Genomic DNA, 11,986 nt, shown 5'->3' on the forward strand with positions numbered 1-11,986 from the left:
GGCAGTCCTACCCATCTCCTGGGGAGATGCTGCTAGCCACAGAGCCTGTATCGGCATCCACCCAGAGCTAGCGGCAGCTGCTTCCCAGTCCCACCCAGGCAAGGTGCAAGAATGCCCTCGCAGCTCATCAGGTGGCCAGCAGCAAGTGTGTGCCTGGGGGGTTCCATGAGGGCCGGTTGCTCTATCTAGCTAAGCCTCCATCTCCCATGGCCTTCATGCAGCAGCGTGACTCTTGCCCCCTAAGATCATTGTGGGGAGGCTGGCCAGGCCAGCTGCTGGTAGTTCACAATAGGGTTCATGCTCCTGTGAACCCTCTAACAGCTCTAACAACTGTTTCAGCCAGAGAACAATGAAGCAACTGACTGTCAGCTAGCTGCCCCAGGGCACACTGCACAACCATGGGGCACAGGCATGTGTTTTTGCAGACACATACAACACACCACACACACACACACACACACACACACACACACACACACAATGTGTAATACAGGTCCCTGTCCTATTCCACAGCCACAACTCTCAACAATGTCTGTCCACACACAGGACAATGTGTACCCTGCTGACCAGCCCTAATTTCTAGATATTCCATCCTGATTATTTTAGGAATTTTGGTTTCCCTATGAACTTTATGCCCAATATAAGAGTACCCTTTCAGAATGCAGCCTCCCTTCCACAATGGCCTCTGTTTATAGATGAGTAAATTGGATGAGGAAGCTCGTCCAACACCACAAAAGCCTTTATGTAACCAAGCAAATATGAATGGCCCAAGCCACTCATCTCTGAGGCATGGCTGGGAGCAGGGGGTGCCTAACATTGAAAACTGTGTCAGATTCTAAGAGCTACATCACAAATAGTGTCCATTGTTCTTGTAGATGCAGACAAACACACAAAATTACACTCTAAGCAGCAAAAGTGGTAAAATTAAGTCTGTCTGGAAGGTCTGGAACACCTTCATGGAGCACGTGACATTGGACCTTAGTCCAGTGTGGGGAGGGCCACTGTGCAGGAAGGACTTCTAATGCACCAAACATGGTGGCAGACGCTTTACAGAGAGCCTTAGTGCAGCAGCCCCCAGTGTTTTTGGCACCAGGTTTGATGGAAGACCATTTTTCCATGGACCAGGGTTAGGGGCCAGATGGTTTTACAATGAAACTGTTCCACTTCAGATCATCAGGCATTAGTTGGATTCTCATAAGAAACGTGCAGTCTAGATCTCTCACATGTGCAGTTCACAATAGGGTTCATGCTCCTATGAGAATCTAATGCCGCTGATGATCTGACAGGAGGCGGAGCTCAGGGAGTAATGCAAGTGCTGGGAGTGTGTTTAAATACAGATGAAGCTTCACTTGCTTGCCCTTGCTCACCTCTTGCTGTGCAGCCCCGTTCCTAACAGACCATGGACCAGTACCCATCCATAGCCCTGAGGTTGAGGACCCTTATCTTAGTGAATCTTCACATCCATGCTGTGAGGTGGGTGCTTTCCTCATTTCTACTTCACAGGTGAGGACAGGAAGCCTTAGGGTGTTTGACCCAAGTGATATTGCTAGAAGGAGTAGACCAGGATTTAAACCTAGTCAGGGTGACTCCAGAACCAGCACTCTCAGTTGCCACGTTGTGTTGCATCTCAGAATGGGAAGCAAAAGCATTGGCAGGAACAGCTGCCAGGTGGGAAACATGGGGAAGGGTCTTGAGGCAGAGGTATGGCATGTGCAAAGGCAAAGAGTGGGGACATCATGGTGGCCTTGAGGGCCTACAATTTTGCATCTTGGCAAGATCAGCTCTGGATTAACAGGAGGCAAGGTTAGAAACAGGGAAATTAATGAAGAGCTTATGACCATGAACAAAGACAGTTACTCCACAATCAGATATAGGGAAAGAGAGTAATGTGTGGGAGTCTAACATAATTCCTAGGGGCTGGCCCACAGAAGGAGGGGCAAGTTGAAGGAGGGCAATAAAATGAGTCCAGGTTGCGTGGGAGGAGAAGCATTCAGGTGAAGCTATCTAGTGGGAAGTTCAATATAAGGTGTGTGGTACAGGAGAGAGCTCTGGCCAGGACAGATGTGTATGAATGGGTAGACGTGAAGTCACGGACAACCTTGGTCTGGTGCAGGAAGAATGAGAAGAAAGGGAAAGAGGACCCTAGGAAAGGAAGCTGAGATATGACAGATGTGTAAGTTCTGGGCAGAAGAAGAGGAAGCAGCAAAGACACTGGGAGATGCTGGTCAGGGAGCTCAGGGGAGAAGCAAGGCAGAGAAATGGCTCAGGTCTACAGGGTTCTAAGAGAAGAGGAGTGGCTGACTGGTTAATGCCTCAGGAAAGTCAGGTGAGTTGTGGGCTGTAAAAGGACACATTAGGAAGTAGGGAGAACCAAAGCAGAGAAAAGGCTCAGGTCTACAGGGTTTTAAGAGAAGAGGAGTGGTAGATCGATTAATGCCTCAGAAAAGTAAGGTAAGGTGTGGGCTGCAAATTGACATATTAGGGGTCACTGGGGGCTTTTGTCATTAAAATAGTAGATTAAGGAGAGAACAAAAAACAAAGTTGAAGATGATGATCTTCAAGGAACTGTCTTCAAAAGGAAGAACAAAATGTTGCTAGCATGGTTGAAGAAGAGATATTTTTATGTAAGTTGATTTTTTAATTACTTAGTGATGGATACATGTGATAGAATATATGTAAAGTATCCATGAATGCTTCACTTAACCTAAGAGCTCCACTTAACCTAAGAACCAGAACATCGCCAGTACAGCGGTACCATACTCCATCACCTCCCTAGTAACTGTCCTCCAGGAAGAGCTTTTGAAGATGGGCTGAACTGAAGCATGTTCAAGGACTATGAGGAAGGGACAATAGAGTGGGAAGATCTTGTGGAGTCCCTGAAGGAAGAACGGGATAGACTGTAAGTACAGGAGAGAAGAGTGAACAGAAAAATCATTCCTTGCCCTGAGCCAGGAGGAGAGGAGTGAGAGTTGATGTACATTTGGATGAATTGAGAGAGAATGAGGATAGGAAGCTGGGACAGCACTTTCCAGATGACCCCCATCTGTTCCTCAATAGGACGATGATGATGAAGATGATGACGATGATGATGATGATGATGATGATGACATAATGATGATAAATGAGGCAGTAATGTTGTTAGGACCTTGAGGGGAATAAGCTGACCAGAGACACATAATGGATTCTTGCCAAGCAGCACCAAGAGCCTGCCCAATGGATCTGCAGTGGCTCCTTCCAGCCAAGTATATGATCTCCTCCAGTGGTTCTCAACAAACCCAGTGAGTAGAGGAATTGACAGATAGCTGGATGGACCCAAGGTGCACAACTTACCTGCGTGGGTCTAGTCCAAATAGAACAAATCCAGATTGATAAAGCAGCTTGTAAGAACTGGGTTGGAGGACGCACCCTAGGATATTGGCTACCCAGAAAAGAATAGGAAAGGAGATGGGGCTGGCCTGTGGGCAAGAGAAGCATCAAGGGAAATGTACCTCTAAATGAGGTGGGAGAACAGAGGACACAGTAAAGCACTGAGGTAAGTGTCAATGAGCGCTGTAAAGTGCTAACTAAGTTTGCATCTGGCTGTGACACCTATCAGCTATGTAGCCTTGGGCAGATTTTTAACATCTTTGAACCCCCATGATCTTACTCATAACAATTCCTCTCTTAAGGGGTTGTCACCCTAAGCTCAAAGGAGGGAGCTGTGAAAGTTCATTGTAAGCTGTGTGCAAATGTCAGCAGTGATGAATCAGGCAAGGAGGTCAAGACAGTCTTCAGGTTTCCAGCAGGACTGGGACTCAGTAAGTCATTCCTCCCCATCATTTGGTAATGATGTCATTTGGTAAGTAAGTCATTCCTCCCCGTCATTTGGGTGGCTGCTTTTCCCTTACTCTGCCCTTGTCCTTCCCAAATCTCATTTGGTTGGTTTCTGACCAATCTCTAAAACCTACTCGAGTCAATTTGAATTCTAATCTGATCCTCCAAGGTGCCCCTCCAGCCTCAGCTGGGTGTCATCTATGAAATTAATGAGTGTGCTCTCTGTTTCATCATCTAGTCCATTGCTGGAAACATTAAATAGCCCAGGGCTCCAGACTTTGAATTGCTCCAAATGGACTCTCACAAGTCTCCAGTTTTTTTTGTCGTTTGGAGACATACAGTGGGAAGCCAAGCACTTCCTCTCCTGGATTTCAGCCATAACCCCACCACCACCACCACCACCCTCACCTGCAAACGTGGTCTTTCCATGAGGTGCCAAAAAAAGACATCGATAGTTAGCAATCAAAATAAGGCTCTCTGCCCTTCCCTGAAGATCACACCACTTCTATCTCCTGAAGCATTCTTTAGGAGACCCTGGGCTTACTGCCTTGACTCTGGCTCCTGCCAGTGCCCTTGCCTTAGGGGCCTCTGAGCCATCATCCACTCAGTCCATGATGTTTAGTGTATATCTTAGTCCATCTGGGCTGCTATGACAAAATACTTTCCACTGCATAATTTATAAACAACAGAAATGTATTGCTCATAGTTCTGGAGGCTGGGAAATCCAAGATTAAACTGCCGATAGAGGAAGGCCTCTATAGATGATGCCATCTATGTGTCCTCACATGGCTGAAGAGGCAAATAGCTCCCTGGGGCCTCTTTTACAAGGACACTAATCCCATTCATGACGACAAAGCCCTCATGACCTAATCACATCCCAAAGACTCCACTTCTTGATACTATTGCACTGGGGATTAGGTTTTGACATATGAATTTTTGGGAACAACAAGCAGTCAGACCATAGTAGTGTATTAGCAATAATTTACTACTGAGGAAGAATTCTTGGGGTACCACTTGGGAATGTGTTGAACATAATCCAGTCCCACTGATCTGCCTCCACTCTGCCAGTTCTAAGATACAGGTCCTGAAGACAGCACATTTCTCCTACCCCCTGGCATCCCTCTTTCCTTAACCTTCCTCTACATGATTTTTTCTTTTTTTAGACAGAGTCTCACTCTGTTGCCCAGGCTGGAGCGCAGTGGCGTGATCTTGGCTCACTGCAAGCTCCGCCTCCCAGGTTCATGCCATTCTCCTGCCTCAGCCTCCCGAGTAGCTGGGACTACAGGTGCCCGCCACCATGACCAGCTAATTTTTTTTTTTTTTTTTCAGTAGAGCACGGGGTTTCACCATGTTAGCCAGGATGGTCTCAATCTCCTGACCTTGTGATCCACCCGCCTCAGCTTGCCCAAAGTGCTGAGATTACAGGCGTGAGCCACCACACCCAGCCTCCTCTACATGATTCTTGAAGGACAACACCCAGGATTCATTCATTTTTTATTGTCTATCTATGAAGTGTCAGCCTCAGTCATTGGTGCACAGCCATTAACAAAGCAAACATGATCTCCTCTCTCCATATGAATACTGCAGTCTAAACTCTGCCCTGCTGTCCGTCTCCCCTGATGTCTCGAAATAGTCATTTTCCACACACCCCCAACCCCCTGGATCCTATTTGACATATCCTACACTGATTCTTCCCCCACGTGTTTGGTGAAAGTCACCTTCCACAGTTGATCTTCTGTCCAAATTCTGGCTCCTGGCTCATGCTCAGTTTTCCACATCATCTTTGTCACCTTTTTTGTCCCTTTGTATGTCTCACCAGTTCTCTATCCTGTGCCTAAGCAGGCATTCCTTCTTTCATAGCTGCTATCTTCTGTAGGTAGGTTGAGCCCTAACCAACCCTACTTCTACTTTCCCCTCCGTCCCCTTCTTGCCCACCTTCTGCTAATGGGTTGGCCAACATTAACGTACATTTGCAAAGCAACTACTTTGGACCTCTTGTCTTTGGTCCCACAGGTATCTGGCTTTGGCAATTCCCTAATTGGGAAGGAGGTTTTCCATCAACTTCTAGTGCTTTCCTGCCTCATACCTAGACAGATCCAGGTTTCTTCTGGGGGAGGTTGGTGAGCACACCCCAGAATTCCCTTCATGAGGAATGAGACCCAGTGCCCTTGGGGTCTATTTGCTCATCCATCACTCGACAGTCCTGGCTATAGCTGTGCCTGACACAGTGCTAGGCACCAGGAATCCAGAGATGATTAAGACATACTATATTGTGTGAAAGCAAAAGAAAGGAATTCTTTTTTTTTTTCAATTGAGGATGTTGGAATGTTTCATAGAGTTGACATGCAGAGACAAAAAAACAAATGGAGAAACTATAATCAATGACACTGGTTTTAACTTAGCAATCTGTCATCTCTGCAGAGAAATATTTTTTAGCTACCCTGCTGGCCTCACTGAGCAGCTGAGACACATGTGTGTGCAGGTGTCTGACATAGTTGACTCCATCTTGCTTCTAACCTCCAAGCTGTCCTTGGTCATTCCTGGGCATAGGCCAAGATAACTTGGGGAGGAATTTAGTTTATACTTTAACCTTAAAGCAAGGATAGTAATAATCCTTTCCAAAACTAAACCACCTTTGTAAAACGAATGAAAGGCCACAAGTTAGGATTATGAGAGGGGTCTGAATTCTACTAAGATGTAGGCATAGTTAATCAATAATCAGCCATTGTTCCAAAGGACCATACTTCCCCAATTATTCCTGTAGATAACATCACTATTGTAGAACCTAAGACTAGCCTTTTGAGATATTTGTTCAGACTTTTGCATTTCTGACAACCTGCTGACTCCACTCAGATCTGTGACTCATGACTCAATGGGTCCAGCTGTGTGATCCCACCCAGAGGCTGAGTCTGTGCACAAGACCCACTTTCTATACCCTTATGATTTCGTCTCCAACCCATCAACATTCTCCACTCCCTAGCCTCCCTTTCACCAAACTATACTTGAAAAACTCTAACTTTTGAGGAGACTGATTTGAGTGTCCATCTCCTCTATGGCCAGCCTCACGTTAGTAATACTCTTTCTCTACCACAATAGCACAATTCCAGTGGATTGGTGTTGTCTGTGCAGGAGGCAGGAAAAACCCATCGGGTGATTACACAAGTGTGTGTCAGCCATGGAAGAAGGGGTTTGTGTGAGAGTTTCCTCTTAAACAATAGAAAAGCCAAAGAGGGAAGAACTCAAAGGGTAAAGAGCAACCTCAGAGACCTCTGCTGGTCCAACCTTCAGCACCTCCCTCTCTGTTTTGCCCCCATCTAACCAAGAGCCTAATGGAGACCTCATCAGTTCCACCTTCTGAGCACCTCCTATGTCTTCTGTCTACATTACTGTCTCTACCTAACACAGACCCTGCTGTCTCCCATCTTGTTGACTGCAGCAGTCTCCTAATTGGTCTCTCTGCCTTCAACTTGACCCTTCCAGATGGTTCTTCCCATGGCAGCCATAGCATCCTTTCTAAAACACAAATAATCCCTTATCTTCTTCAGTGGCTCCCCAAGTGCCTTTTGCTTAGCAAAACTCCCCAAGTCTGCCATATATGGCCCCCTGCTGATGGCTCCAGCCTCATATCTCACCACTCCCTCCCCAAACCTAGATGGAATGTCCAATCCATGCTGTGTTGCTCTCTCCTACCCCCATCTCCCCACACTTTCCACATGCTCTTAATTCCTGAAACACCTTGGCCCTTCCCATTCTTTCACCTCCTCTTTGCATGGCTGATCCGTAGTCAATATCAAGGTATCAGCCTGGGCTTACCTTCCTCTTTCCTGGCCCCAGTCTAGGGTGGGTACATGCCTTTTATCATCACAGGATATCATGATTGCCTGTTTAGTCATCTGATTCTCATTAGATCATAGGCTTGGAGAAGGCAGAAACCACTCCTGTCTTGGAGACTGTTGCATCTGCTGTTCTAAATCAGTACTTGTTGAGTTAGCAGTGCTTGGTATTTACTGAACAACTGAATACGCTGTGATTCCTTATAAGGCTCCACATTCAGCATTGTCTTCTCAACTAAAATGAAGCATTTTGGTGATTTCTCCTGAAAAATAGATAGAATCCCAAACTACCAAAGGTGGGAGAACTTTAGAAGTCCTCAAACTCAAATCTCAGGTGTCAGCTGAACAAATGGAGTAAGAAATGGAGTAACAAATGGAGAAGTGAGTCACCTGGAGCTGTGAGGAAAGTGGTCATGAACATTGCTCTGATGTCATCTGTAGTGATTAGTGGTACCTGCCCATACCCTACACAACCCAGCCTCCAAAGAAACCTGTCTGTTAGTGATTGCAAAGCACGTTCCCACCCATTTCCTCGTTTGAGCCACACAACAATCCTACAACATTGATTGGAAAGGTGTTATCAATGCCCCCATTGTACTGATCGGGGAATTGAGGCTTAAAAAAGCCCAAGTCACAAAAGTCACAACTCCCAGGGAAAGAGGAAGGTCCCTCTGAATCCAGACTTCATGCTCATCCCCACTCACCACACAGAATCTGGCTCTTTTCCATCTCCCCACAATAGGGTGGGAAGCCAGCAAGGAGCAAGACGATGCAGTCACGGCCTTGTTGCCTGGCAGCACATCTCCATCATGCTGGAGATTATCCAGCAGGTCCACAGGATGAAAGACAAAGAATCTCCTGTTTGTAGCTGGGGCTGACCCTACACTGTGTCCAGAGCTGCCACGGTAGAGGGGCAGGCAGCAGCTGTCAAACTAGCCAGTGTTCAGCTAGGTGCTTGACTTTATTTAAGAAAATTATTTTTCATCCAGTCTCACAGGCAATGGACTATGCCCTGACTTTTTTCAATGAGATTGGGAAGCTCGAGCTGACCTGACACATCCCTCCACTTTCCCTGTGCACACTTAAACATTCTGCCAAAACTAATAACTTTATTCCTAAAACCTTCAATTCACATAGGGCAAGCAGTGTCTGCCTGTGCTGTACAGAGCATGCACTTCAGTCTTTATATTACCCAGAGGAATGAGCTGCTATTATGAAATCATTAAATTAATAACTTGGTAATATAGGCAGATATATAAAACAATCTGTTCATAGAACAAAAGAAATTACTACGTTCCAAACATTCATAATTTAATTTAACAGAGAATTAAAGTAGCATACCTAATTTTAGCCTCAAAATGTCAATAGAATTATGTAAATACAGCACCGAGTCCCATGGCTGTGTGTGTGTGTGTGTGCACGTGCACGTGGGTCGTTGTGGGTGTGAACAGAGGGTGGAGTGCGGGCTTGACTTTTCCCTCCTGTAGGCCTCTCTTCTTCACAACGGAGAAGCAATTGACAGGAATAGATGAGGTGCCCAGCTTTTAATTAAGAATTTATTAAACATTCATAGAGCTGTAGAGAAAGCAGCGAGCAAGGCATGCTGCTTTCTGCCAGGGTTGGGTGCTGAGCAAACAGAAAGAGTCACAGAAGGAAGGGGATCCCACAGGGCTCCAGCAGGCCTCCCTGGGGAATAGCAAGCATCAGAGGCCACTGGGCCTGGACCACAGAATCTAAGAGGCTCTAAAGTATTTTATGAGTATGGACATGAGACGATGAAGAGGAGGGCTGCTGGCTCGTGTGGCATTATCTTGATGGAAAGACAAGAACAGGGGAACTATCTGCCCACCCCAGCATATGGCAAAAGCTAGCCTTGTTTGCGGGTAGGCAAAGGAGTGAAGTAACCTGGCAGGGCCCTGGCCCATTTCAGTCAACTCTACAAACCACCTGCCCCATATGAAGTGAAGGGAATGCAGCCAGATGCAATTCTGTGCCAGGGATGAGTCACTTCATTGCAGAAGTTTTTGACTCCCCCTCCCTGGAAGCTGGGCACTGGTTCCTATTAAAGCAGGAAGAGTACAAAGGGCATCCTATGTGGGCAGACTTTGCCTCCACCTCTATCTTTTCTTGCTTCTGAGGTATTACATCCATTGCTGCTTTCATGAATGTTTTTTTAAAGACAATGGGTATACCAGTCTTATGCACGTTCCACATTGGAAGGAACTTGCGAAGTCTAAGTCCACCCCTTTAAAAAAAAATACATACACGCACAAAGAATTTGGCAGCAATTTCAAGGGCCTCACGTATTGCACTGATGAACCCAATGTCAGAAATCTCTGGTTCAGCTGAAGACACTTAGCATGGAACCACATATATGAAGAGCAATGTATGTCTGGTGCCAAGGATATAAGATAAACAAGTAAGACAGGAGTTGACAGAGGGCTCCCGGAGGAAGGGGAACAAGGGAACTTGAGCTTGAAGAAGATAGGGGGAGAAGGAGAGATGGAGCCAAGGTAAAAAAGTAGGCATGCATAACGGATGGCGAGTATTTCTGTAGGGGAGCACTAAAAGAGTGAAGAAGCCATTCTATCAGGAAAATCTCTAATAACAAAAGTTTTGAAACCAAAGCATATAAACCTGTTATCCTCTTAGAAATATTTATTTTCCATATATTCATTCTGTTATGCATGAATGATAAACTAGAGGAGGAAAGATTTGGACTAGGAAACCCAGTAGGTAAACCATTATAGTGGTTTAGGGATGTGGGGAGCTGCAAGGAGACTAAAATACTATAAATATGCATGGGAAGGAGGAGGCAAGGAGACATATTGTTTGGCTATCTCTGAGAGGACTTCTAAATTGTTGGTGGATTCATCTGCACAGACTAATTGCTGTAACAAACAACCACAAATCTAACTGGCTTAACACAGTAAAGGTTTATTTCTCACTCATATCACAGGACCATGTGAGTGAATAGAGAGGCTTGATCCATGCAGTCATTCAGGGCCCAGACTCCTTCTGCCTTGTGGCTCCAACACAATCCACATAGTCCTCAGTGAGATCCTCTGCATATGACCAGCAAATGAGGGCAGACAGACAGAATGGAAGGTTGCAAAAGAGCTTCTGCTGCAGGCCAGAAGATAAAAACACCTCTTTTACCTACATTTTGTTGGCCAGAACTCGTTCATCTAACTGCTAGAAGGCTGGGATCTATAGCCTAGCTGCCCAGGAGGATAAAGGAAAGTTCCCCAGCTTCTATAGCTGATTAGGAGGGAGAGGGATAGGAAGACAAGAATGCCTATTCTCTGTCCTGGGGACTAGAAGATTGATGGGAACAATGACACAAAAAAAGAAAATTTAGAGAGGAAGATATGAGAATTGCAAGAATGGCATTGTATATCCCTATGTCTAGTATTTACAATAACCCAAGAAAGTTATAAAACAGATTTTGCTAAGACATTAGTCACACCATTATCCAAGAAGCTTGGCATCACAATTTGGCTTTTTCTTATGTGATACAGGAAGTGATGTGATTAGATATGACACCAAAAGCAGAGGCAACAAAAGATAAAAAAAAAAAATGGGTAATGTGGAGGACATCATCAAAATTAAAGACTTTTGTGCATCAAAAGACAGTATCAAGAGAGTGAAAAGGCAACACACACAATGGGAGAATGAGAGAAAATATTTTACACATAGCATAAGGGATTAATATCCAGAATACATAAAGAACTCCTAAACTCTACAACAACAAAAAATCCAAACAACCCAATTCAAAAATGGACAAATGACTTGAATCGACATTTATCCAAAGATGTAGAAATAGCCAGTAAGCCCATGAAAAGATGTATAATGTCACTAATCATTACAGAAGCATAAATCAAAACTATAATGAGATATCACTTAACACCCACTAAGATGGCTATTATCAACAACAACAAAGAAAGCAAGAGAAAATAACAAGCATGGGTAAGGACATGGAGAACTCAGAACCCTTGTGCATTGCTGGTGAGAATGTAACATGGTGCAGCTGCTGTGGAAAAGAGTATGGCTGTTCCTCAAAAAATTAAACATTGACTTACCATATAATCCAGGAATTCCACTTCTGGGTGTATACACAGAAGAAATGAAAATAGGGACTTGAACAGATATTTGCACACAAATGTTCACAGCAGCTTTATTTATAATAGGCAAAATGTGGAAGAAAGCCAAGTGTCTGTCAGAGGAATGGAAGGACAAAATACGGTTTACACACACAATAGACACTATTCAGCTTTAAAAGGAAGAATATTTGGACAAATTTGACAACATGGGTGATTCTTGAAAACGTTAAGCTATAT

At 45.0% G+C, this 11,986-nt stretch overlaps 1 annotated feature.

The window, feature by feature from the left end:
- Positions 3,060–4,259: an enhancer, noted in NCBI's record as "CDK7 strongly-dependent group 2 enhancer chr8:21417498-21418697 (GRCh37/hg19 assembly coordinates)". NCBI's record gives its function as "activates an origin of replication core promoter dependent on BRD2, BRD4, P300/CBP, MED14 and CDK7 cofactors, with strong dependence on CDK7, by STARR-seq in HCT116 cells {active_cell/tissue: HCT116}" and the evidence as "EXISTENCE:reporter gene assay evidence [ECO:0000049][PMID:35650434]".

This window comes from Homo sapiens, chromosome 8 (assembly GCF_000001405.40).
Source record: "Homo sapiens chromosome 8, GRCh38.p14 Primary Assembly".
Lineage (NCBI taxonomy): Eukaryota > Metazoa > Chordata > Mammalia > Primates > Hominidae > Homo > Homo sapiens.